Below are 27,528 nucleotides of genomic sequence, written 5' to 3' on the forward strand. Positions count from 1 at the left end.
GCAATAGAAATGAGTTTTTATTTGTAAAAAGTTACAAAATGATATTGTACAAAAATAAAGTCTGTAGAGAACTTTGGTTTTATAACACAAACGACCAAGACAGATCAGAGAAGTCAGAACTTCCAAACAAGTGCACTCCTTACGGTATCAGATGGTGATCGCAATGATAAAGAAAAATCACAAACTTTACCCTTTTGTGGATTTGGTGGAGCAACTTGCTTCCATTAAAACCTGCTTGTGGTGTGTAGGTGATGCCGGGAACGAGCTATTGACACCCCTTGGATCCTACAGCTTTTTTGGGCAGGGACTCTCCATGGGGAGTTGTTGGGGGGGGTCACTGAGGTTGAAGCCTGGGAACAGTGGCCATCGCACTGCCAAGGTTCTCTGAATGGGACAGATGCCCCTGGGGCCACATCCAAATTGTGCTCCACGAATGACTGGATGGCTGGGGTTTGTCACTGTTTCGAGCAGTCTGAATTCTCAGCAAGATCCCAAGACAGTGTGAGAGGGAAGGCCTTTCCTCCATTTCCCAGGCGAGCAAGGGGAGCAGAAAGGACAGAGAAGGGCAGAACCATGAAGAATTTGGGTATTTTGGGGGAAGGGGATCAGATGTCTGGTAACTGCTGCTTCTTGTTACTATGATTATTTGATGGAGGCCAGTATTTCATTTAATTGCTAAATCTGTCATAGTTTTATACTAGTAGCCACTAAGGTAGGTAGTAATAGATTATCTCCTTAATGAAAATCCCTTTTATGAAATGCGTAACAAGCTGTAATACAGGGCCTAGTGTGTCATACATGTGTTGGCTGCCCGATAAATTCACAATCTAGGGCATGGAGGAGGTGGCTGTTCCCGCCCCTATGCTTCCTCCTGCTCCAACCTCTTTTTTTTTTTTTTTTTTTTTTTGAGACAGGGTACCGCACTGTCACTTAGGCTGGAGTGCAGTGGCATGATCACAGCTCACTGCAGCCTCGACCTTCTGGACTCAAGTGATCCTCCTTCAGCCTCTTGAGTAGCTGGGACCACAGGTGTGCACCATCATGCCTGCCTAATTTTTAAAGTTTCTGTAGAGACAGGGTCTCCCTATGTTGCCCAAGCTGGTCTCAAACTCCTGGGTTCAAGAGATCCTCCCACCTTGGCTTTCCAAAGTGTTGGGATTATGGGTGTGAGCCGCTGCACTGGCCCCGACCACCTTCATTTAAAGGCAGCACGCTCCTAAGTATGAGGCTCCATGTGTGTGGCTGTGGCTGGTCCCAATATGGCTTCCTCAGCACCCTTCTCAGCCATCTGCTCCCCAGGGAGCTGTCAGGTGTTTGGGTATATAGGAGCAGCAGCTGTTGACCCCCGGTGACAGCCCAGGGGTTGTACAGGACCTGGTAGACCCTACCTCTGGAAGGCCCCTGTGTCTCCCGGGCTGCACTGGGCAGCCAGCATATTCTCGGGAGGGCAGTGGGTGGGCAGGGATGGAGGGAGTCGGTAGAACGGCAGCTACCTGACAGCATTGTCGACATTACTTTTAGGTCAGCATTAAATCCAGGACTACCTACTAAAAGGAACTGAACCTTTTCTACATATGGTTATGCATAGTACAGATAGGTATACGTGGAGGGGACTAAGAGCTTAAAGACAACAGGAAGTGGAGCCCACGACATTTCTGTTCAGCAATGGAGCAAGGAAGAAATAAAGTCAAGTGCCAGTGGTCTCTGCACGCTGCTCCAGGAAAGGGGGCTTGCCTGAGATGCTCCACAAATAAAAATTGGGAAAAATGCTGAAATCTGGGGAAAATTAATGACAAATTTTCTTAAAAAGGTAAAGTAAGTGATTTTTGCCTGGCAAAAAACTTTTTAATACTTTGAAAAGCATGGACCCTTGTTCCCAATTCAAATTTCCTTTTGTCACCTTTCTTTGCATTTTGCGAGCACATATACTTTGGCACCTTTGAAAAGAAACTTTAATAAATAAGGGAAAAAAGAGAAATTCATTAGTGAACGGTAATAAATAACAATAACTTAAATTTCAATAAATATCTTCTCTATATTTCTGTATCTGAAACAGATGCATTGCATCGAGTAGCTTCTCTGGTCACTGGTGACCACGCATCAACGGAGCTGGTTATGTAACATCTGTCTCTCTGTAAACCAACAGGCCTGAGGGGCTCTCCCTGCCCGGGGGCAGTTCGGGGCCTTCCCCGATTCTCTCCTACAAGAATGCTGGCGAAAACCACAACTCGTTTCCTGTTTCCAAGGACATAAAGGAAATACCTTCAGGTTTGTGTTTAATCATGAGCACAGCCTTTTTGGTTCCTAGCCAACTTCTTCCCACCCCACACACCGTGATGGAAATCAATCACCAACCGTTGGCAAAAATGCTGGTTGTAGTAAACCTCGGGCCTCAACTTTCAAATGCAAAGGTGATTATCTCTTGTATCTTTGCTTTTTTTTTCCCCTCTCCTTTCCAGGGTATGTCTCCACTGAGTGACAGAAAAATAAACCTCTTACTTTCAGCAGTAAAACGTAATAACAAGGAACAACACCAGGATCTCTGTTTCCCTGGTGTCTTCGGACACATGAAAACAAATCACAGGAGATACACTGGTTTGGTTCAAGTGCATCCACCGCAACCGCGCCGGTAATCAGTGATGGTGGACTGTATCAGCTGAAATGGTGGCAATAGCCAACCAGGAACATCAGCCCTGAGCTTCTAGTGACATCGGCTGCCATCCTGGAGAATCCAGAGGGCTGTTTTCTCTCTCTCCTGTCCAGTTGTCTGTAGCTGGATCTCCCTCTACCAGGCTCCCATGATGGCTGCCTTCCTCCTCCTCCTCCTCCTCCTCCTCCTCCTCCTCTTCTTCTTCCTCCTCCTCCGCCTCCTTGGTCCTCATCTTCCATTCTGGGCAAACATTTCCTGGGAACCTTGGTCCCTTTCTTTGCACTGTAGCAGGAATGCAATACACAGCAGTCTCTGGAGCCGGAGTCAGATACATCCACACCTTTTAGCGGAATGCTTTCTTAGAATATGGTAAACCAGGTTATCATCTAAAAACGACAGGTCATCATCAAAGGCGATGGGTCTGCAACATGCCTGCCCTACTTTGTCACTCACCAGCCTTCTATTTCTGGATAAGTTTTTCAATATTTTGTCGTACGTTGTCTCAGCTGCATCGCAAGAGCCGCTGCAGTACCTAAAAATCAGTTCCTCCTTGGTTTCATAGCCCAGACCCAAGTCAGTGACATTTAAATGTATTGCAGTTAAGACACAACCCCGGTTTTTGCCCCTCTGGCCTCTCCGACCTTTTCCTCTGGAATTCTCTGGGTTGGCAGCTGCAGCCTGCCGATTCCGCTCTCTTCTAGGAAGCACTGCCATTTGTTTATCTGGTGACCTTTTCAGTCTTTTAATGGTGGCTTGAATAAAATCCATGACATCATCGAACTGATCAGGATAATCCTCTGGCATATTTGCTGTTCAAAAAGAAAAGAGAAAATGGCACATGAGACAAAATGATCATTTCAAGCCGTCTTCAAGATCAAAGTGCCCCCCTAAAGTCAGCAAAAATTGGACCCACAGCAAAACTATCAGCCGATTAAGCTATAGGACCACTGTAATCCCCAAAAACAGAGGCAAAAATGCACAGAAGAAAGATGATTTAGTTGGAAGAGGAGACTAATGTGGTGGTGACATACTTTCTCGAAGAAAACAAATCCTTAGAAGCATAGTTTTCATTTGAATAACATTCACCATTTTTAACAAGTCCATGCAGAGCTTGCTGTGAGCTGGCCAATCTTCTAGGGGCATTTTTCTTGCCTAGTCACACAACCTAGAGTAGTGGTTCTCAAATGTGAATATGCAGGAAAATACCCTGGATATTGACTACCATGCAGATTCTTGGCCCTACCCTTGGAGACAATGAGTCATTTGGTCTGGGGAGGGACCAAGGAATCTGCATTTCTAACAAGCCTCAAGGAATTCTAATGTAAAAGATCCACACACCAAAGATCCACGCACTAAACTTTGAGAGACACCGTCTTAGAGGGTGAAAAAACTGAGGCCTTCCACTATGGCTACCTTCATCTGGAATACTGAGTGCTCTTCCCTGAAACTTGCTTTGATTCTGTGTGGCTGAGTGGGACAAGAACCATTCTGACAGAACAAATGAAGAGCTCAGGAATGCAACTATAGTTTAAAATTTCCTTAAAAATCATAAAGGAACAGGAAAACAGTTTATATTTTACTAACAAAAAGACTAATTTACCGCTTCCTTTGAACAGCATGACTTTAACAAAAAAGTCCAGTGATAGAGTAAAATGGCATTTATGTATCACAGCAATAAATGAAATGAGATGCTGTTCGTGCATAGAAGCAGCCCTGCCCCCAAGGGTGAGGTCCAGCCTCAGCTGCAAGCTGTCACATGGCTCCCACTGTCTGGCTGCAAGCAGGACAAGAGGCTCATTAGGGAGATCACATGGAGGAAGGATGCAGGGACACTAAGATGTCTGAGACCTTTGGTGAAAGTATAAATCAGCAGTCTCTTAGTGCTTTCTGCCGGATTTCAGTGTTTGCTTTGGCCAATCAAGTCAGCAGAGAAAAATAACTAATGGAACAATGTAATAAATTTCTAAACGGGGGGAAAAACAATCCAAACACCTGTTTCTTGGGTAGTAGGCCTCTTATGCCCCCCTCACCTCATTTTTCAGGTCATTTAGTATGTTTAGGATTCTAAGTGGCTTAGAGAAATAAACCAAAGAAGAGTTGTCAGCAAGAGTAAATGTTTTTTGCCAAGATTGTATTAAAGCATAGAAAGATTACATTATGTCTAACCCATGTCAAATTGTTTTGTCATAAACCTAACCTATTTAATTGTTAAAATATATCAGGTATCCCTCCTATAGAACAAAATCTAGCAAAAGCAACTTAACCACGTGTGTGTAGAGTGTGTGTGTGTGTGTGTGTGTGTGTAATATATAAAACATATGATATATAATAATGAAAAGACTGGTGATTGGAATCCGTAGAATGCCTAGTTGCTATCTGAAATTTAGCATTGGCAGGATCAGCTGCACGGAAATCACAAAGCTGTTTCCACACTGGCTGAAGCCCTGTCACCTCTTGCCTGGATAACCACAGTGGCCCCTGAACTGGGCTTCCTCATTCTACCCTTACCCACCTTCGATCTATTTTCTACCCAGCACCCAGAGGGATACTTTAAACGCAGAACATAACCTCCTCTGCTCAAAACCTTCCAATAGCTCTCTGTTACTCTTAGAGAAAAAGCCCAAATCCACACTGGCCCTAAAGGCCCTACCTGACCTGGCTGCCCCTCTCCTCCAGCCTTTATTACCTCTGACCTCCTCTCTTGTTTCTCTTCTTGTTCCCTCCCGTCTAGCTACCCTGGCTTCCTTACCATTCCTCAAACACGGGGCTCAGTGTCAGCACCACTGACCTTTTCGGCTGGGTCATTCTTCATTGTGGGAGGCTGTCCTGTGCACTGTAGGATGTTTGGCAGCATCCCTGGCTTCCATCCAGGAGAGGCCTGATATGGTATGGCTGTGTCCCCACCCAAATATCATCTTGAATTTTAGCTGCCATAATCCCCACATGTTGTGGGAGGGGGCCCAGTGAGAGGTAATTGAATCGCAGGGGCAGGTTTTTCCTGTGCTATTCTGGTAATAATGAATAAGTCTCATGAGACCTGATTGTTTTATAAAGTGCAGTTCCCCTGCCTGCCTATGCCCTCTTGCCTGCCGCCATGTAAGATGTGACTTTGCTCCTCCTTTGCCTTCTGCCATGATTGTGAGGCCTCTCCAGCCATGTGGAACTGTGAGTCCATGAAACCTCTTTCCTTTATAAATTACCCAGTCTCAGGTATTTCTTCATAGCAGTAAGAAAACAGACTAATACAAGGCCCATAGCATCCCCCATCCTAGTCATGACAGATCAAGGTATCTCTGGATATTGCAAATGTCCCCTAGGGGCAACACCATCCCTTGAGAACTATAGCTTAAACAGTCAAGAACTCAGGGCCTTTGTGCTGGCTGTCCCCTCTCTGCCTGGACCCTTGGCCTATAGAGCAATTTGCATTTTACCTGCAATATAGGTAGGCAAAGAATACCAGATTAAATGTCTCCCACCCTGTGGCTAGTCCCACATCTCCTTCAAGTCTTTGCTCAAATGTCACTATCCACAAGTCCCACCTGACCTCCCTATTTAAAACAAGATTCCTCCCCAGCCCCTAATCCAGATACCCCTGCCCTGCGCCTCCCCCTCCACCATAATTCTTGCTACATTCTAACACACCATCTAACTGATTTCTTAGGGTTGTTATTTATAGTCTGTCTTCTCTAAAAGAATGTCAACTCCAAGAGGCAGGAACTCTGTCCTGCTTGTTCACTGATGGATCTCCAAGTGCTTGAGTAGGCTGTGGAGGCCTACGGTAACTGCTGGCTGAATGAGTCGGGTCATTTTACTAGGCGGAAAGAGAGTTCTTAATTTTTCAAGGGGACTCTGGGACTTTAGCTGAAAACTGCATCGTTATGAAATGAAATGCTCCAAAGTAAACAGCCCACATTACTCAGAAAAGCCACTCTGCCCTGAGTGGCACAGTCATTGCCCACCAGAGAGCTGAAGGACTGTCTCCAAACCACCTTTCCTCCTCAGCTTTCTGCAGCTTTGCAGCAGCATTAACTCTCAGTGCCCACCTCCCCTGGGTCTCCTAAAGCTCTCTGGTCCCTGAGTAATGCTTTCTTAAGGGGGCCCAGGGAAGTGCTCTTTTCTTTTTTTTTTTTTTTTTTTGTTTTTGAGACGGAGTTTCACTCTTGTCGCCCAGGCTGGAGTGCAATGGCATGGTCTCGGCTCACTGCAACCTCCAATTCCCGGGTTCAAGTGATTCTCCTGCCTCAGCCTCCCAAGTAGCTGCAATTACAGGTGCCCGCCATCACACCCGGCTAATTTTTGTATTTTTAGTAGAGATGGGATTTCACCATGTTGGCCAGGCTGGTCTTGAACTCCTGATCTCAGGTGATCCGTCCGCCTCAGCCTCCCAAAATGCTGGGATTACAGGAGTGAGCCACTGTGCCTGGCCAAGAGTGCTCTTAATTTGTCCTTTCCTTTGTACTGCTTTCTCACTGAACTTTCTTTAGGAAGTTTTCTTTCAAAACAAAACAAAACAACAACATTAAATCACTTTGGTTGACAGAAACAATTGACTTAAAAAAAAATGAGCTGCTTTAGCTATTGGTGATTTCTTTCAATAATAAGCTATTAAAGAGGAAATAAATACAGATGTGCCCAGTTTCAAAAAAAAACATGCTTGTATATAAATCGGAACTTATGAAACAGATCTATTAGGAGTGATTAATCAAAATACAGAAGAGTCTTCAAATTAAAAAACAGAGACTCTGTTTTACAAAAGGACTCACATCATAGGCTCTATTCAAGAATTCTAAATAAGTCATTAATTTAGGAACCTGGGCATATAGAAAGTTAAGTTCAATTAACAATCAACTGAAGATTAATCAGAAATGAGGGTAAAACATTACTAAAATTTTAATATAAGCTAATAGGAAAACATTAGAGTCACAGAAGTTTAAATCATGCTGGTTTAGAGACTCATTAATCTATATGATATATAACTTTTTATTACTAGAGTTACAATCATAAGGATTTGAATCAGCACTTATAGTGTTCTTTTTTAGCCCTTGATACTTGGAAGAACTTGAAAAACATTTTTCTCCCCTTTTTAAGACATTTTGACCACATGGCTTTGTCACAGGCTTTGTTTGCCAGGTAAAATACAGAAAGCCTGGTTGTATTTGAATTTCAGGTAAATAGTGAATACACGTCATAGCAAATTTGTCCAAACCCATGGGATGTATAGCACCAAGAGTGAACCCCAATGTCAACTGTGGACTTTGAGTGATAATGATGTGTCAATGTAGGTTCATCAACTATAATAAATGTAGCATTCTGGTGGGGGATGTTGACAATGGAGGAGGCTATGCATGTGTAGGGGTAGGGAGTATATGGGAACTCTCTGCCTTCCTTTCAATTTTGCTGTGAACCTAAAACTGCTCTAAAAAATAAAGTCTATTATTATTATTATTTTTTAAAGTCTTCCTGGCATGTGGCTTTTGAAAATTCCTTCCTTTGATGGGAAATCTCCTTCACATTTTGTTGCTAATGTGGAAATATTATTTAAACCCCAAGTTCAGGCCATAGGCAACTCTTATTAAGCTGAAGGCTTTTTTTTCCTTCATAGTCATGAAAAATAGAAGAAACAACAAAATTTTTGCTGAAAAATTTACATGGATATGAATTCTGGAAGCCAGGAAAGGGCAACATTGTATTTTTCAAACCACAGGGCAAATAGGCCTGCATGTTCCGACTAAATGAGTTCATTCTTAGAGCCAGCCTCAATTTATCGATGCGAGGCACCTGGGGGCATTAGGCGCCATACTCCTCTGCAGAGGATGCTGGGCAGCCTCACTGAGCCTGTCCTTAATTCTTCTGCAGAGGCCTCTCACCCAGCCCAGACAAGAAACTCCTGGTGATGAGCTGAAATGCCCACAGCTGCCTCCATTTTCCAGGAATTCACTGAGCTGAGGGAAAAGAAGAGGGGTCTGGGTTTGGATTCGTTCCCTAAATTAAGACTTACTGGCGCATCTCTGTCTTCATCCTTTAAAAGGCTTGGCAGAATGTCAGATATGCAAATGACCCTCATTTATTAACTTTAATAGTGAAATACTTGCAAACCACAAAAGAGGAGCATCATTAAAAAAATAATAGGTCATATCTTTGCTCATTTCCCAGACCTGCTTGGAGGATATATCTTGGAAAACATGTCCATCTAAAATATAAAGTTTTTGGAAATCCAAAGTGCTCAAATGCATTTAAGCTATCCTTCAGAGTGCAACCAAATGTTTTGGTGTTATTCTATTTAAAATATTTTAACTTTGATGTGTTCTTTGTATAAATAGTGTTACTTAAAGAAATGAAACCTTGTACCGGGGCACAACTCTGGGAACAAACAGTTCACCGCAAAGACTTTGCTGCCCTCGATTATGGGGAAAAAAAATAGTAATGTCATCCCAGGAACAAAGGACTGAGATAGTGACTATTTTGTAAAGTCAACTGAGTTTTAATAGGAACAATGGTGAGGGCTCCAAGTCCTCCCTGTAATAGCTGAACTCAAAATTACATAATCCAAAACATTACATTGGTTAAGCTGGCAAGAGTGGACAAAGTCTTTTCGTAAAATGCCAGATTTGTCTTAAAACAGTACAGGTTAACTATATTTTAATCAAAGGGTCATTTTTCTACTTGTAGCTGGTTGTCCCCTCCTCAGCCTGGCCAGGCAGGGAGTCTAAGCTGACTTTCATTCTAAGTCATCCTAAGTCCCCAACCTGTGGGCCTGAGAGGGAGATGGCACAAAGTTGTCTATGAGGGACAAAGTGGTGAGGACACAACTCCTTATCCAGAAGGTGGAAGGAAGGTCTTTGAGGCTCAGAGGGACCCAGGAGAGAGGGGGCCTGACCTCAGTACACACAGTGGTCCTGTTCAGGAGATGTCTTCCAGGCCAGGCTTGAGATCTGCATGAGCCGGGCTTGGCTGATGCAGGGGCCCCAGAGAGAAGGCTCAGGGGTTTCTTGCTGTGGGGAGAACAGCCTTGCTACTTCACTATAGTGTCCAGCTTCTGTGCCTGGAAGGGTGAGGGCTAATGGGACCCATAGGGGTGAGCTGCTGCCTGAGCCAAGGCCACACAAGTGAGAGATACATCAGGAACCAGTGGCCAGATGGTGGGGCTCAGTTTTGGGATGGGGCAGGATGCTGAGGATGAGGCCACAGGATGCTGCACCTGCGGCTGCCGAGGTGCGGTGCCATCCATCCTGACATGTAGCGGTTCCTATGAAAGGCTGTCTTCAGACAGGAGGAAAATGGAAAACCCCCTAATGGTGGGAGACATTTAATCTGGTATTCTTTGCCTACCTATATTGCAGGTAAAATGCAAATTGCTCTACAGGCCAAGTATCTGAAAAATATAGAGATCTCTCTCGATCTATAAACACATACACATACACATGCGTGCATACATATGCGTCTACACACAGAGACACACATATACATACTTATATGAAAAGAAAAGATCAACTTAAAATTGATACAACTTCTCAAGAAGAGTCCCAATGAATGTCATTGTTTTGGAATAAGTTATTTTTATCTTTCTATATGTTACAAACATGATTTTCTTTCACTAATATTGGAATATCATTACAAGAACTACATGGCTGAGTTTAACCTGTAAAACTTCTTGCATTACAAAATTTCATCAGGCTATAACTTAGATAAGAGCTTCCTTGAAGCACTTAAAAAACATTACCAGTGTAAAGGTGGAATACTGCCTACTTTCACACAACATTAACTTTAAACCTGACAACCTCCCTTCAAGGCTAAATTGAATACTATCTCCATTTTACAGCTCAGGAAGCTGAGGCTCAGAGAAGACAAATATTTGGTGAAGTCCATAGGACTAATAAATGTGGACCTGGTGGTTCAGTTTCAAAGCTCAAACTTGTTGTCTTTTTGTTTTAAAGTAAAAACTCTACTACCACTGAGCTCTTCAAGTCTTGCAGCAGATGGGAATTTACTCTGAGACGAGAGCAAGACATGCTGGTTTCACCTGTACACATTTACCAAAGTCAGCACAGGAGGTGAGAAACATACTTTCTGTTGAAAAATTCAGTACGAACTCAGGTACGCTAAGTAGATCCTAAAGTTAGGCTGCCATGGGCCACAGAATACAGTAAATTGTCTCCCAAAAAGGAAAAGCCATGCTACTCAGGGGCATTTCTCCTGTGTCCTGGTTCTTGCATATCACGCTAAGACAGCTCTGGCGATTTCCCAGTTAAAACCGGAAAAGCCGCAGCCAGCACAGCAGCAGATCCAGACAGAGAGGCCCCATCTCCGGAAGCTCCTCCAACTCATGCTGGCACCAAATGACCAGGCTCTTGCTGCAGAGTTGGAGACAAGAGAGGCCCGGATTCCAGTCTTGGGTCAGTCCCTGATCAGCTGCGTGACCTTGGAAGTAGTCACTTAACCCTTCTGAGGTCAACTCAGTGCTCTCTGGGGCCTTTTCCAGCTCCAAAATGCTAAAGTGTGGAGAGTCTAAGTCTTGGCTGGAAAGTGTGGCCAGACACGGGTTTTTCAGTCACCTCTGCAAGGGAGTAGACCACCTCTGGCTGACGCCCCAGCAGCATTCAGCTCAGCCAGTACCATCAGGGGCCCCATAAAACCCCACAGGAGGTATTTTAGAACTCTGCAGTGCTTGACCTCTTCAGTTTACCTCTTGGCTGAATGTCTCGGCTACATTTGAAATGACCGTCATCAATCTTCTCTTAAATCATCAAGTCATCTTCCTGTGCCCTATTTAAGAGAGGTAAAAGATGTGTAGAAAGGGCCCTGTATCTGCATATGAAAGCATCCAGATTCTACTGTAAGGCATTCTTAAACTTCAGTTTCCATCTGTAAAAATAGAGATGGGCCCCATGACCCCTGAGAGGACACACTACAGCCTCACGCTACAATTCCTTCAGTCTCCATCACCCAAAAGTCAAACACTCAATTTACCATTTTCTTCGAATCTCAATTTTATTCATTTCTGTTTTTGCTGCTTCAAGTATGCTTAGGTCATACCCAGCTTATGACTCCAAGGCTAGAATTGCCCACTGCAAGTGGTACAAAATGGATCAGGAGAGCCAAGCAGCTTGTCCTTGAAGCCAATCTCTGGGCTGTCAACTCTTGTTCTTATTTGACCTTCAGGAACCTCTAAAATGTGCAGTCCATGAGAATGGACTCTAAATGTGAGTTTATGAGAATGTTCTAGTTCTCTGAAAAACTTCTGTAAAGTTTTGTTATCTGCTCCTATTTCAAAGTGATGACTTTGACACTTATTTGAACTACTTTTTAAAAAAGGCCCATAGATCAGTAAGCACTGAATGCTGATGCATCTTACATTATGTAATGACCTTCCGTGCTTTCCTATTTTGGACACAGAATTCATCTAGTGTTTGGTAGACCGTCCTGATCATAGGCTGCTGTTGGGTTAACTTTCAGAAGTGTCCACAGCATCTATTTTCCTAAAAACAATTACCAGCTGAGGCAATTTACTAAGTCATTGTGACCATTTCCAGAGCTACCAGTGCATTCTCTTCAGGACCAGTGGTTTGTTGACAGTAAGGCATGACATCGATTTATTTGAAAAGTATTTGCGTTGTAAAAACACCACTGTTTTGTTGTTTTAAAAAAGCATTTCTGGATTCTCTCAAGGCAGAAGAAAAAGACCAACCAGAATGCAAATCACTTTAGAATATAGAAAAAGAAGCTATGGGTGTACTTAGAAAAGCCACTTTGCCCATCAAAATGCCATCTTATTTACCATCTCCACCCACTCTGAATGACATTGCACATACTAGTTGTACTATATCCTAAACTGTTATCCTACAACTCAACTAAGCAAATTTGTAATAAATGGACTGAAAATTACTCCATCAATACAAACAGCCAGAAAACCCCACTCAGGGAGAGACAGACAGTAAATTCCTTTGTTACTCAGGTTCTGATCACCTTGCTCTGATTTCTATGTATGTGGTCCATGCTTTTATTACAGTTATGCTAATAATTTTACAGTAATACAGCACAGTCCCCCTGGGTGGAAAGTGTCCATTCTTCAGCTTTTAAGTCAGGAAAACACCCAACAGGGTGTTCATTTGTTAGCTAATCCATGAACACCTGGTGTGAGCTAAAAGCACTCCAGAGTCGGTAATAAACACCACAAGCTAATGAGCACACACCAGGAGGTCTGCTACTGCCCTTATAAAAAACTTAACAGGGAAGGGTGAGAAAGTTACCCAGTAAAATTAAGTGCACAAAAAGCCACTAGGGCAAATCATCCCTGTGGTGTTATCAGAGGCAGGTGGTTGTGGGGGTGGTGGAGTCTCTCCTTTCTTCTTTCAGCGAAGCCCTGCCCCCAGCCTGAGAGGCTGCAGGACCCTGCAGGATTCTGCACTCAGCATCCCTCAGCTCTTCCCAGGGGACCCACTGAGCAGTAGGTAAAAGGCATGTAAGGGTCTCAGTGATTTGAACAAGAAGGAGGGACTAAGAGAAGATGAAAGAAATCTTCTTTATCATTTGAATTTGTTTGGTAGATTCTTGTGGTCAGATATGAGGAGGGAATTTCTACCCCCAGTGAGTGAATTTACGGGAATCTCAAAGACTCTTCAGGTAATGAGATACGGTTATCATTCTAAAACAACTTTACCTGCCAAACCCATTCCCTGATTTTTTTTCCTTGATGACTTTTTGATGCAGTCAGAAGAGTGACATCTGAGTGTCATGGGCTGGCAGGAAGTGATCTTGTGCAGTAGTGACAAGTGTGAGTGCTGGACTCAGGCTGCCCTGTGTCCAGACCCTGGCTAAGCTGCTAACCCTGTAAGCCTCAATTTCCCCATCTTTCAAATGGGGCTAGTCACACCTTTACCTTCAGGTCAAAATTAATATGATAACATAAGAAAAGATTTCAGCTCAGTTCCTGGTCCACAGAAAGTATTTCACAAATGGTGCCTAATGTAGGCCAATATGGTTATCACATCTGGGATCCTCCTTCAGCAATATTTGCACAGAAGGCAGCAGTGTAAAGCCAACTCTACAGTCTCTAGACAAAGCAAGATTGCCCAAAAGGGGATCCAGACACTGGTCCCTACTTAGTCTAGCATGTTCTACAGAGGAGAGACCTCTGTGCAGGGCCTGGAGCCCCTGGCATGGTGGGTTGTGGGCAGAAGCCACAGGCCCGTCTTGGGAGGCTGTGTGAGCTCTTCCGTGTTCCTCAAAATGCCTGACAACTAAACATGCAAATGTCAGCAGACCCCAGAGCCCATGAGGGTTATCTTTGTGTCCACTATGGCTTAGAGCAGTGTCTTCAGACTGAGGCACCTGGCCCTCTGGGGGCACAGGAAGACTTTCTGCAGTGCCTATGGGTGGTTGAAAGGGAATCCATGTCCATTTCCTCAATTTCCACATGTGCCATGTCCTAAAATGTCTGGTCTGCCTGCGGATGCTCCTGCTGTGGTTCTCCTTGCCCATGTCCCCTTTTCCAATCCCTCTTTATCCTTACTGAGAGACGGTGTGCTTCTCACCTATCTAGCCATTCTATTGTGGGGCCTGTCCCAGGGATAAACACCTTCAGGCGCCATACAAAGGCATTCATGCATGAATGGCTCCTTGGAACAAACTGATATTGGGCGCTTCCTGATGTGAGGACATAGTGCCATGAATATGATATTCCAAGGATGTTTCCCTACATCTAATCATGTGGAAATAATCAGACAGATCTAAACTGAAGGGTAGTCTGGGAAACAGCTAGCAAAAGAGCCCAGAGTTTTCACAAATGTCAATGTCATGCGGGAAAAAAAGACTTGGGAATCATTTTAGATTAAGGAAGTATAAAGATACCAGACAGTCAAATGCAATTTATGGTCCTGGGTTTTAAAAAAAAAAAAACAAAACATAAAGGACATAATTGCTACAACTGGGGACATATGAACACAGACTATCTATTGGATAACAGTATTATATCCATGTTAAATTTCCTGAGACTGATAACTGAATTGTGGCTATATAAGACATTGTCCTTGTTCTTAGAAGGTACATACTGAAATATTTAACATTCTGATGTTTGCAACAAATTCTCAAATGGTTCAGAAAAAAACGAGGCAAAATGCTAAAAAAGAGGTTAATCTTAGTGAAGGATGTATGGGTGTTCACTGTGCTACAAACACTTGCAAAGGGAGATAACTTTGTGAATAAACCAAGAAATCCTGAAGCCAGTTGCTCCATATTTCCTCCTGGCCAGGCCCCTTGGGAAGCCTCAGTGCTTTCTTTGCTTATCTGACTGTTCACCTATCCATCTCTCTACCTTACAATTAGGATCCAGAATTGTGACAGTTGTCATGGGGTGTATATTAACATGTACATTTGAATTGAAAATGAAGTCAGACCTTTTCTGACCAAAAAGCCAATTGATTTGGGCTGATTAGTTTGATCATTTTCCATGAACTAAATAAACTACATAGGCAGGTGCAAAGTTTTGCCAAAAGAATATTTAAAGCATATATACAGTTCCTGAAAGGGCTAGAAATGACATCTGGTGTAACTATTTAAACCTATGATGAAAAATTTTAGAAAGCTTCAAAGTAGGTAATCGTTTTTCAACATTCTTATTTGCAGGTTTGCAGGCAAAAAAATTGGAAGGCCATATTGTTTTAAAACCATGCTTCTCTACTTCAATTTTGTTATTAAAGTTATGCAAAAGTGGGTTTTGCCTCTACTGAGCTAACCAGTTGTTTCCCAGTGGTGACCCAAGTCTGCTTACGCATACTCCTATTCCCACTGAGGCCATCGCTCTGGCACTCGTGCAGTCACACTAGGTTCCTATGTGGATGCCATCCCCTCGCTGGGCAGAATGGGAGAGATCTGAGAACCAGAGTCTCCCACAAGGCCTCCCGAATGCTGTCTGCCTACCAAGCACTTGAGGAGACCTTGCTTTGTTGCAAAGAGTTAGGGAGCCTTCTCTCATTGCAAAAAGCATCAATATTATAGGAATACTTAGAGAAATTCATGTTTCTCTTCTTAAAAACATCCTGATCTGGACTTTGAAGTAGTCATTAGTAATACTGGCTTAAGCCTACCGCAGCCCAAATGGAGATTTTAAAAGGGCCAAAAGGAAATTTGATAGTCTCTGCTTCTCTTTTCTCTTTGCTTGCTTAATTTTCCTGGAAATCTGTGTTTCAGGGTTAGTGAGTGCATTTTTAAGCAAGCCAAAGTCTATATTTTCTTAATTCACTAATATGCACACACAGTCTGTGTAAAGTCAAGAAATATTGGCTTTCGGACCAACATGCTGAGGTTTAAATTCTGGCTTCACCACTTACTAGGTTTGTGACCCGGAACAACTCTCTAGGTCTCCTTTCTTCACCTGTAAAATGGGGATAATAATATCTCCTCTTCTATTGTAGAGCTCAGACTTACTTGATTTCAGGACAAGAACTGTGTTCATCATGTGGATAGTTAAAAGGTGCTAGGTCATTAACTTTAATATTAAGTGTTTATTTGCAGATATTCACTTACTTGGGGCTAATAGTTTGGTTCAATTGTGCCTATGTCTAGAAGATTTTTAAAAATAAAAGCACAACACCTCAAAATAAAAGACATGCTTACGGCATAGGCCCCACTCAAAAGCAGTCTGGGTATTTAGGTAACTTCTCCTGCAAGACAGCTTTGAAGCAAGATCCCGCCTTGTAGTCACCTGCCTGCTCCATGGGTGCCCCACTGCTATCAAAAACAGAGCAAACACCTTTCCTGAATTTTATAGTATCACACAATCTGGTATCACCTGTCAAGACATCTTCAATTTCCCACCACTTCTTAGCACCTCTTTCTAGAACTTGGAGACTGGTCTGTCCTCCTCTTTGTTCCACTGTCCCTTCCCCACATCATGGTCACAAATTTTCCCATGCTACTCCCTAGTATGTCCCCCTTTCCTTTTCCCTTCCCTTCCAAACACCCATCTTTCAAGTACCAGGTCAAATCCTCCCTCTTCCCTGAAGTCGTCCCTGCTATGATACCCAAATCCCAGTGAGCTCACTGCTAGGAATTTTTACCACACATGCGTACAGCTCACCTAAACCCTACACAATAGACATATCTATCTGACTGACATTCTATTCATCCATCCAGCCATCCGCCCATCCACCTAGCAATAGTTTACAGCTAGATCACAAGCAACTTTATTTACAAATTTAGCCTTTTTGAGGCCGCATGGCACCCAGTACATGAAAGATATTTAATATTTGTTTCCTGATTAAGCTTAAGTAATTAACTAAAAAACAAGTATTTTAATCAAATGAAGGTGCTATGGTCCATGAGTGTTAAATAAACAAAGATCAAAGAGATATTAGGAGGGGAAAATATCAGGGAGCTTTAATTTTTATATCTGTTGAAGAAGAACCTGTTGAGTACATTGCTCACGCCCTGGGTCAGCCTAAGGTCCTGACTGGCCAAATCAATTTAAGCCTTAAATAGATTTCTCTAAGCAGTAACAGTTTGAAATGGTTTTCCAGACTGGGGCCAGAATGAGAATATTGGTCTCAGATCTCAAGTAAAGAATCAGTGCCTCCTACAAGAGTCTGATGTGCAGTTTCTTGATTCCAAGAGACCCATCCCAAGTGGCAGAGCTCCTTTCCAGCTTAGGTAGTTACTTTGTTAAAGTATTGTTCATTCATACAGTCCCTAAGCGATAAGACACAACAGATAGATGGTGTTTGTTCATTCTAAATTCTGTATTTCATAACATTAGATTTGAAAGCTTAACATTTACCCAGCTTGTTGCACTAGAAGCTTCCTTAGCTCTATAGAGGTGGTCTCACAGTTTACTAAGTATTTTTTGCTAGGGTTATGAAACTTCTTAAATTAAATGTCCAGCTGGGATGGATCATTTACAAAGATACGCTCCATCTCCATACAGGTAGCCTCCAACTCACAACCCTCTTGTCACTTCCATAGAAAGATCCTACCCTGCCTTGGTTCCCTCCTTCCCATGACGGAAGAGGTCTCCCTAACATAACCATAGGAGTTTGGTGAGAAAAAAATTCCACTGGAAATATATGGGCTTGGAAACTGGGGAAGGGTCGGAGCTGTGAAACCTGGGAAGAGCCAGGGGCAGCTGACCCAGGGGCAGAATCCCAGGCAAGCCTGGACTGCCTACGTGCTGACCAACCAACAGTGGGGCCCAAAATAGCCTGCCCACAAGGCCTGCATTTCTCTCACTCGCTGTACTCTGTTGTGCTGCTGAAATCCCACTATTTAGAGCAGCATCCTGGCAGATGTCGTAGCGGAAGAAGTGAATTCACTGGGTGCCCAGGGAGGGGCCATTGCAAGCAGGAGGGTGGCAAATGACAACTATGATCCCTATTTATGGAGCAGAGGCTTTACAAAGCAATATCTAAGTTAACCCTCACATCAACCCATGAGACAGATTTACTCTTATGCCTATTTTACAGGGAAGAAAAAACAAAGCTTAAGGGATGTTAAGTAACAGCTCAACATCTCAGTTAAGTGGCAAGGCTGGGGTCCAAATCCTAGTCTGGTCTGAATGTGTTACCTTGAGCTCTTGCTTGCTGAAACCTCCCTGATTTCTTGTTCTGTGCCCTCCTTTTGCAGATTATGGGATGTGCCCCCCAGGGCAGAGACTCTCACTTAGTAATATTGTGAATGACAGTTCAGTTATATCGTGGTTTACATAGGTTTTTGTGGGCTAGCCTGAAAACTTGATAGCTTAATTTAAAAAATTGTTTCCATAGGAAATTTTGTGAACTGCTACCAAACTGGTAGAATATAATCCCATTATATTATACTAAATTAGGAATTACTTGTAATTACAACTTAACGATGCTCAATGTCATTTTAGTTGGTTTCCAGTTGCACAAAAAATTCAGCCCACCTTACTGGACTGAGGTTCTTTCACGTTGATTTTTTCATACCACCACACATGTGCATTTACTAGAAGCTATGTTCCATGAGGGCAGCGACTTTTGTTTATTAGGTGTATCAAGGTATCCCTAGCACTTAGGACAGTGCCTGGCACAGACAGGCATACATGTAACTATTTGGTGAATGTATATGTGCATTTAGATGCAAATTTTTAAAACCACATGCATTTTATGCTTTTACTTATTAAATACATTTAGAGTTGAGATAAGGAATATGACTATGATGAACTAACCTTCAATAAATTCAGACAACCTTGTGCACCATGGTCTAAATCATTAGTTCAAGACCTTCCTCCCATATAAAGTATCCTCCCCTTCCCATATAAAGTACATTTCAGTAGTTTGGGGGAAACTCTGGTCCCAGCTTCAGACCTGCCTCCTGTGATCATGGAACTGTGGTGCATTATAGACAAGTTGCTTTGCCTCTTTAGGTTTCAGGACTAGAGGGGTTTCCTTTCAGCTCGAAAATGCTATGACATTTGCAAGTTTCAACTTGCAGATTCCTCATGCCTGCTCTAATTGCCCTTTGGAAACTGGCAAAAAGCAAAATACTGGCAAAATACTGGCAAAAAGCAAAATAAACAAATAAAGATAGCAAAAGAGAAAAGTCTTGGGTACCCCAAAAGTCAAATCACAAGTCCTTGAGTTTAGACAGGCTAGAAGTTGCTACAGGAGGCAGTCCTGAGCCATTTACTTTACAGCCAGCCTCTAGGCAAGCCCGTTGGCCAATTATGAATTCCATTTGGTTATCTCACACTGAGGGCATACTAGTAATAGAATTCTGGATGTTTTATTTACATTGGAACCAGCGGAACACATGCAATCTTAAAGGTGAGTGTGCAAACTGTGTATATTCTGGTCCTCCTGTGAAAAGCGCAGAATGACGTTAATGTGGCATGAAAGCTCTTTTGCTCAATCATTAAGTTACAAGTATTTGGATGGAACTAGAGGAATCAGAATTTATGATACTTTCTATTTTTAAATGAAATGTGGTGACTTAATGTTTTTCTACATAAGCCTTAACCAGTTGCACCATGTACAGTGCAGGATATAAATGTCAGCACTGTGACAGAGGCGTGTTGACACTGGTTGAGTGTTCAAAGTCTGCATACTGTCATTATTTTGCCTTCCCTGCACTTGACAGCTTGCTACCGAATCAAACATATCTGGAAAGAAGTCAATTTGGCTTAGAATGCAGCTCAGTTTCTCTTTGGGAACGTTTCTTTTTCAGGTTTCCTCTGGGATCTATTGGGTCTTCCCACAGACAAAACACAATGGGGTGTGTTTTGCTGTTCAAATGTAAATAGAGTAGTGAGAATCTTGTTCACTGATGACACAGCATCAATTTTGGAAAAGGGAAGCAATCCCTCTTCCCTACAACATGCCCTTGTCCCTGCAATCTGTGTTAACTCGCTTGCTTTGTGACTACTTGTACCTTATATGAGCCAAAGATTTTCTTGGGTGTTATCAAGCCATGGTGATTCAAGTCTGGTTGCACATTAGACTCATCTGGGGAACACCTAAAAACTCAGATGCCTGGGCCACACCCCAAACCAACTAAATCAGAATCTCCTGGGGTGAGACCTAGCATCAGTAGTCTTTAAAGTTCCCCAGGTGACTCCAATCTCTTCTTAGGAGATTCTTCCCAAAGGACTTTAGGACAAACATAAAGGCCAAGGGGCAAATCTCATAGCCACTGGGATTGTGGAGTAGAAAGGCTTCTCTTTATGGTACAGTTCATTGAGCTCTAAAGTAACTTGCCTGAAAGTCACAGAGTTAGTTGAAAGCAGAGCCAGGAGCCTGAGCCAGAATTAAATGAATCTAGTTGAACAGGGCACTAATACAGCAATTAAACCTCCATGAATTAATCAGCTTTGTAATCAGGCACAGTCATTTTTCTCTTGGCAACGTCTGGGTTAGAGAACTATTATCTGCCACTGTGTTCCTGTCCCTCTTGTCTAGACCGTTTGAGTGAATGAATAGCCAGTTTTGGAAGACCCGGCACTAAGGGGCATTTTAAAGTTTCTGTTGGAGAAACGTTTATATACATTAAATTTGTGATGGAAATAAAAGCCTTTAAAGTAGGTTTATACAGTTAATTGACAGACACTCTTGGAACAGGTACTTTAGTTTCAAAGGATTAACCATGTTCCCTAACTTCCTTTTGAAGTCTTAATTTGCCTTATAAAAAAATCCACTTTCTATCTTTCTTGGGACTTGTGGAAGAAGGTGCTTTTGTTGCTATAATTAAGCATAAAATAAGCACATTGCATTTACTGGGTTGTTTCCTAGCCAAGGCCATTGGGTTTGGGGGACTCAGCGCACAGCTGACTACTGCAGGACTACTACTGTGGTTATGACCATAGTAAGTTTCAAGCGCAAAGTTACTAGAGGGATAATTCTGGGGGTGGCGTTAGGGAGGGAAGAGTAGCCAGGGTGGTATCCTAGTTACACACAGCTCATTCCTGCTTTATTTTGGGGTTGTGTGAAATTTTCTATTGCTATCTTTGTTGACATTATGCCTCTGCAACAGCCTCTATCACATGTAATGTAGCCTCTCTCACTTCATGCAACAAGCTTCTGAGGAGTGGAGGGAAAACGAGATCACATCACAGCTGATATGCCCTAATTGACTTGCTTCTAAAACATGTTAATTTTTGAGAGGTAAATCACAGACTTATTTTCTAATAAGAATAACCTGGGTTTTTTTCTCAAGAGTTAGCATTGTCTCACGTGGAGTGAGCTACAGTCTTTGTCCCTAGTCCCAGCCAGCACTATTTATGGTTAAGTCTTTCTAGAACCGGAACTTTTCTGAACAGAGGAACTTTTCTGAACAGATTTGACATTACCCAGACGCTTGTTCTGGAAATGGAGGCCCTTCTGTGTTTTCTCTGCCTCTGGCTTGCTTTTGTGAAAAGCCGGCCTCTCGCCTTGCAGGCGCAGTTTAGGATGAAAGTGCAATAGTTCTCAGAATTAAGCACAGCCAGGCACAGACACACAGATAAAGGGCTTTGGAAGCAAAGAAAAACTGGGAGTGTGTATAGGTGAGGAAACAGAAAAGGGGACAGCTGTGTGTGTGTTTCTGAGGTGGTGGTGCTGGTGGGGAGGATATTTGTTCATCAGAATGCTAAAGGAGCAGCATAAAAATTCCATCCCCTCTGTGCTGGGCAAACCAGCGCGTGTCACTTTCAGGCCAGGCGTGCGGGCAGCAGTGGGCAGCCAGGCACCCCTGGGGGCTTCAGCACCCGCACCCCTTGCCCACGGGTCGGTAGGCCACACAGCCATCAGGCTGGCTTGGGGTACGTGCGGGGCTGGCTGCGGGTGGGGGTGCGAGGGGGTCCGCCGGCGGCCCCCCCGCGGGGAGGGAACGGTTCTTACAGTCACTGCTCAGCGCGAAGGGCGCGCGGCGGCGGCCGAGGGAGCGGTCTTCGGCGGGCGCCTCGGGAGGCCTCTTACCGGCGGGCAGCGGGAAGGCGGACGCGGTGTGGAGCAGCACCAGGCAGACAGCCACGACATCCCATAACTTCATCTTAAAGTCCCGTCCGGCGGCGGCACCTGCGCGGGCAGGCGGGAGGTGGGGGAGAGAACCGCAGAATGCACGTTAAGCCTGGGCTCCCTGCGGGTCCCTGCGCCCCTCTCCAACCTCGTCACCGCCCTCCTCCGGCACCGCTGCAGGCCAGCGGCTCCTCGGGCACTCCTGCCCTCCTTGCAAGTCCCCAGTTCGCTTCTCCCTCCTCAGCGCGCCCCAGGAGCAGCTCGCACTCCTGGTTCAGGTTGCAGCTGCCCTTCTCCACCACACGGTCTTAGGGGTCAGAGTTTCAAGCAGGGCTGCTGTCCCCTCCAGTTAACCCCCCACCCCCACCACCACGATTCCTGTCCAGTCCCCTCTACTGGTGCGCAACATCCCCCATTCCTGGGGGGCAATCGGGTAGTTCCCACCCTTCGTCCTCCACCCCAACCAGAGACCTCCCCTTCTTGTCCCGGTAGCTCCTATAGGCCCCTGAACGAGCCCTCGGCCCAAGCAAGGACGGTGTTTCTCTTTGGAAATAAAATCAAGCGCATTCCCCTGCCTCGGGTCCCAACCGGGCTTCTGGCTAGTCGAGGGCAGGCTCGGGGGCACCACTCACCCAGCCTGCCGCCCACACCTCATTCTTCCCACCTAAATAGGTATTCTGTTGCGAGAGCAAGAAGTTAGCAGGGACTTGGAGACTTTTGGCCTGTATGGGATATCTGGTTTAAGTTACTTAACTTCCCAAAGCACTGATTCGATTTAAAATACTCCTCCCACCTCTTAAAGTTATGAACATTAAATCACGCATGACAAGCTCTAGCGGAACATGTAGTAAGAGCTCAGTAAATGCTTTACCATTGCTGTTAGGCAAAGACTGCATTTGTCTTGAAAGTTTTAATCCTCCGTGGTATACCCGAAAACCCTCTCTTGACTGGATTTTTGCACCTTTGAGAGATTCTGGCCCTAATCCCTTCCCCTCCCAGAGGAGTCACTGGCTCCCCGCGCCCCCGTCACGCCTGGACGACTGTACCCAGTCTCGGACGCTTTGGAGGTGCTCTGGCACTGGAAGGCCTAGACCGTGGTACGGCGCAGAGTAGGGGGTTCAGCTCTTTTCAGCCCGAGGTGGGCTCTGTTTGGCTTCTCAATCCTCACACCCCTACAAAGGAGGGCCACGCAGCTGGGGGTGGGTTAGAAAAAGGGGCTGTAAATTTGGGGGCGAGTTCCAACCAATGAGGAGACGGGGAAGAACCGAGGCATCTTGGGGTGCAGTGTTATCCAGTGCCTTCCTAATCCCAGGGTTCGTCTCCAGGGCACTAGTGACCTAGAGAGAATCTCCTCAAGCGGAATCTGCGAGATTCGTGCAGTCGATTATCCTATCCCCTCGACCGGCTCCATAAAACGGTTCTTAGGAAAAACTCGATTTTTTTTTTCCCATGCGGGAGGGAAATGCAAAACCCAGGTTAATGCAAAAACCTCAGTGCCTTTCCTAGCCATTAGTTCACAGGCACCCCCGCCTCCATTCCAGGGTTCCAGTCCTCATCTCTACCCGGAACCCCACTCCCTGTCCCGGTGCAGGCAACCCGGGGAAGCCTTTAATTCGGCCGCCACCTCCCACCTCTGCAGAGACTAATGCATTTTACATCTCCTGAGCGTCTGTTTGTTCGCTATGCAGCTGTTGGGCTCGAGAGGGTGTAGGGACTAGAAACTCCTAGTGACCTGCAGCACCGAGCGCCTCTTGCCTCGCGGGCTGGTTTGCAAACTCGGGAAAAAGCTAGGTTCTGGGTCGCGATGTGCAGACACAGGAAAACTGCACCAGGCCATGCAAAATGAGCCCAGAAAGGTACTTTGGCAGCTAGGACCTGGGGAACGCGAGCTTCCCCCCTCAAGCCCCCCGCCGGTGCCAGCTCCCGGGTGCGTGCGAAATGGCTGGCGGTCCGACCGGAGGAGCATGGAGGCGCGGGGTTAATGCGCCATTCCAAATCGCGGTGCCCGCCAGCAGGAAGCCACAGAGGCACTAGATTTCCCTTCCGTCTTAAGAGGGTTTTCCCTTTTTTCCTGCTTGGCCGACGGAGGGCTTTTTAAATTGGACGTGGAGATCCTCAATTAGAAGTGTGGCGAAGCTGGCAAAAGACTACACAGTGGAAAACTCCCCGCGTCGCCAGAGGAGGCTCCCGGCTGCGGTTCCCGCCCTCGGCCGAGCGCCGCCAGCGCCCGGATCGAGCTCCCCTCTTCCCCCGGGACAGGGAGGGCGCATTCTTCCCTCTGAGCGCCGCCGGGACCGGCTCCAGTCCGAGGGGCTCTTTCGTTCTCGGTATTTGCTGGGCGGGGGAAAAGGGGGGAGGTTGGGGGACTCGGCACACACAGCGTCTACTAGGACGTTTTTCTTAGAGTCCGTGTGGGCTCCACCCCTCGGCTTCTCAGTTTGTCTCTCTATCGCTTTCCCAAAACACATCTACATCTGCCCGACGCGCTTCTCCTCAACCATGGGCCTTTGCCCGCGGTGCAAACTGCTTTACGCGCCGCCACGTGCGAGAACCAAGCTCTGCTCCTCAAGTGACGGGGGCTCTGCTCTGCCAGGTGACCGCGCACCATTTCTCGTGCCTGGCAAGCTGGTCCCCTTCTGGGTCCGGGACCACCACGTCCCGGCAGGGCAAAAGCAGCAGGCCGTGGGCGCCGGCACCTGTGGGTCCCCAGGCCTGGGGAGGCAAGGACGCCCAGGAAAGCCACAGAAGTGCTCGCAGAAGCAGCCGCTCGCCGCGAGGCACTTCTGAGTTCCCGGCAGCAGGGGGCACCAGAAACCGTCTGAGCCGTGTCGCGCCCACGCGGCCCGGAGGCTGTGTTATCATTTTAGTTATAAAACCGGAGAACCACCACTCCCTCTACGAGCCTCCCGAAATCCCATTAGCCCGGGAACCTGTGGAGGTCCTTACTGGCATCTCTGCTTTTCAGGCTCCCACCCCTCCATTCTCGCTGGTTTTCCTCTCCCCACTTCACCTGAGCGGGTTTCTTGGCAACCTGCTTTCAGACCATCCCTCACCCCTTCCACGCGTCACCGTGACAGATTCGCAGGAGGCAGCGCTCCCGCCGTCAGTGCCCCCGCACCTTCTTGTGCCTGGCAGGCTGGGAGGTTTGTTTGGGCTTTGCCTTCAAGATCCAGGTCTCAGAGAGAGAAAAAGGAGGCGGTGGGGCGGGGAGACGGGTTTGCTATAAACTCGGTTTTTTTTTTTTTTTTTTTGGCGGGGGGAGGTAGAGACAGAAATTGCTGGAAGATCTATTGCTTTTCTTAACTATGCTTCGTGTCCTTGACTGACAGAGGACTTATTCTCCCCTCAACCCCCCATAACTGCGGGGCCCAAGATGAGGGAAGGAAAAAGAATTTGGGACACTTCTCGCAGGCAAACTGGGAAAGCGGTCTGTTTAAAGGGCCAGGTTCCAGGCCCGAGAGCACCCGAATTGCTAGCGGGAAAGGGCTAGGGACACGGCGGACTTCCCAGAGATCGGACACTTGTTACTTGTTGAAAAGGCGCCACCTTCCCTGACAAAGCGAAGGCGCAGCGAAACAGTACGAGTTTGGTCGAGGCCGGCTTTGACGGCTTTGCGGGACTGGGTGCGTGAATGAGGTTGGAAGAAACATCTCTTCCTTGAAATACCTAAGCATATATTCCAAACACTGAGCAAGAGTCGAGCGCGTTCTAACATCTCCGCAGCAGGGGCCGGAAGAGTTGCCTTTGTCCCCGCCTATGAGCAGAAGGGTCGCGAGCTCTGGGATGGGTAAGCCCCCCGGGGGCGCGCACATGGGTCCTGGCGGCGGATTCTACCAAAGCCGAAACTAGCTGGGCCCCAGGAAGCTGGCGGGAACCCGCGAAAGTCCGTTTCCAGCCCGAAGAGGGTTCGTTTTTCTTCGTTGGGGCAGGAAACAAACCACCAGTGCGGAATTAGCCTCGAGGTGGTGTAAAGTAGTGGCAGTGGTGGTGGGGTGTTTTTGGAAGGCGGCACAGAGTACAGGAGAAAAAGGGGTCATTAAAATAATAACCTCAATGGCCTAGTGGAGTCTCAAGAATACGTTCGAGACAGAGATTTGAATCCAGGACTGGCAAGAAAGCCCCTCTCCTAACCTCGACGGGGATGGTTAGTTGGGGTGGAGGGCGTTAGGAACGTGCAGGCAACCGGGTGAGGAATGTAGCTTTGCCAGACCTCGCCCGGAGGAGGTGAGCCCTCCATTTTTAGGTTCTCAGCACCTTTGCAGCAGCCCCTCCCCCGGCCTGCGCTTTTCCTTGGCACAGATCAAAACAAGCTCAATAGTAAGTTGCACTCTTGGCAATGATAGTATCTCTGCACGTCCAGAGAGGACACATTTCGACGGCGGTGGGTTCGAAGATGACCCAAGCCCTGAATCGTTCTGTGACTTGACGGAAGAGCACCTGGCCGAGTCGGGGAAGGAAACTGCCCCTCTTGGGCATTCCGGGTCCAGGCGCATCTGGGGCTCCACAGATCTTTGCCCACGTGGAAAAGGCAACATGCCCCTCCGAAAGGCCGGCCTCTCTCCGGTTCTACTTTTCTCTCTCCTCGCATAGCTTAGGTTCCCTCTAGTCTTTCCACTTTCTACTCTCACCGTTTGCTCTGGGGTCCAGACGCACCCCTCTGACTAGGGCGCCCTTCAGCCGGCCGCACCCACCCGCGACGCAGGCACCACCCGCTCCCTGCTCCCCGGCCCGCTCCCTCACTTACCTCGGATCGGGTCTCCGCAGACCCTAGGTTGGACATTAACTCCAGGTGCCCCAAGTCCCAGCCAGGAGACCCATCCGGGCTGATGGCTGGAGCGCGGAGCCCCGCCCAACAGGTCAGGGGCAAGAGTTCGCAATCCTGGGGTCGCGCGGGGCAGCAAGGGCGCGCTGGAGGCGGCGGCCAAGACTCCCGCCGCCGCCGCCGCCAACAGGGCGAGGGCTGCCGGCAACTCTCCCGCCGGGCCCCCGCACCCCCAGAAGCCGAGGTCCGAGCAGCCGCCGCTGCTTTGGGTGGGGGGCTGACAGGGCTGCGCGCGTCGCGCTCTTGGCTGGGGCTGCGCGGGCCCGGGGCGCTGCGGGCGGCTCAGCGGCAGCTGCCGCGCTCTGCGCCTCCTCTGGGCGCACTGCCTGGGAGCACGAGACTGGTTTGTCTGATGCTGCTGCCGGAGCTGAGGTCTTGCCTGGAGATCCGAACGAGACACCACGTCAACCGGCGCGGGGAGTCCCGTGAAGACATGAGGGCGCCAGGAGCGCAGGCTGGTCTTCTAGAGCCCGGGCTGGGGGTCCGGGGTCCGGGGTGGGGGAGGGGAGGCGCGGGGCCCCGGGAGGGAGGGGTCGGGAGGCGTCGGCTGGGCCTGGCGGTGGGGGAGGAGAGGAGAGCAGCGAGGAGGCCCTGGAGTTCCCGAGGCGGGGGGCCGGGGT

The 27,528-nt window shown here is 46.6% G+C and overlaps 1 protein-coding gene and 1 long non-coding RNA gene across 7 annotated transcripts in view, besides 3 other annotated features; one reads left to right on the top strand and one right to left on the bottom strand.

Moving 5' to 3' along the window:
- Window positions 1-27,365, bottom strand: GDNF (glial cell derived neurotrophic factor). Of its 6 annotated transcripts, none has more exons than XM_017009337.3 (3): window positions 26,831-27,365; window positions 22,048-22,146; window positions 1-3,459 (listed from the first exon to the last, which is right to left on the bottom strand). In XM_017009337.3, exons 2-3 carry the CDS (start codon window positions 22,118-22,120, stop codon window positions 2,975-2,977), a joined length of 558 nt encoding a protein of 185 aa, XP_016864826.1. In that variant the 5' UTR covers window positions 22,121-22,146; window positions 26,831-27,365; the 3' UTR covers window positions 1-2,974. The 6 variants fall into 6 exon arrangements, with proteins under 6 accessions (XP_016864826.1, NP_000505.1, NP_001177398.1 ...); NM_000514.4 differs by having other exon boundaries at window positions 21,970-22,146; NM_001190469.1 differs by lacking the exon at window positions 26,831-27,365 and adding an exon at window positions 22,958-23,151.
- Window positions 23,472-24,410: an enhancer, noted in NCBI's record as "H3K4me1 hESC enhancer chr5:37836250-37837188 (GRCh37/hg19 assembly coordinates)". NCBI's record gives its function as "activates a minimal SCP1, AML or CMV promoter by ChIP-STARR-seq in naive H9 embryonic stem cells {active_cell/tissue: H9 hESC(naive)}" and the evidence as "EXISTENCE:reporter gene assay evidence [ECO:0000049][PMID:30033119]".
- Window positions 24,762-24,831: an enhancer, noted in NCBI's record as "active region_22490". NCBI's record gives its function as "activates an Ori minimal core promoter by ATAC-STARR-seq in GM12878 lymphoblastoid cells {active_cell/tissue: GM12878}" and the evidence as "EXISTENCE:reporter gene assay evidence [ECO:0000049][PMID:35858748]".
- Window positions 26,289-27,226: an enhancer, noted in NCBI's record as "H3K4me1 hESC enhancer chr5:37839067-37840004 (GRCh37/hg19 assembly coordinates)". NCBI's record gives its function as "activates a minimal SCP1, AML or CMV promoter by ChIP-STARR-seq in naive H9 embryonic stem cells {active_cell/tissue: H9 hESC(naive)}" and the evidence as "EXISTENCE:reporter gene assay evidence [ECO:0000049][PMID:30033119]".
- The window catches only part of GDNF-AS1 (GDNF antisense RNA 1), a 35,916-nt gene continuing 35,595 nt past the window's right edge, over window positions 27,208-27,528 (top strand). The window contains exon 1 of the long non-coding RNA NR_145476.1: window positions 27,208-27,362. This is a non-coding gene — a long non-coding RNA (GDNF antisense RNA 1). The remainder of the gene's footprint in view (window positions 27,363-27,528) is intronic.

This window comes from Homo sapiens, chromosome 5 (genome assembly GCF_000001405.40).
Source record: "Homo sapiens chromosome 5, GRCh38.p14 Primary Assembly".
Taxonomy (NCBI): domain Eukaryota; kingdom Metazoa; phylum Chordata; class Mammalia; order Primates; family Hominidae; genus Homo; species Homo sapiens.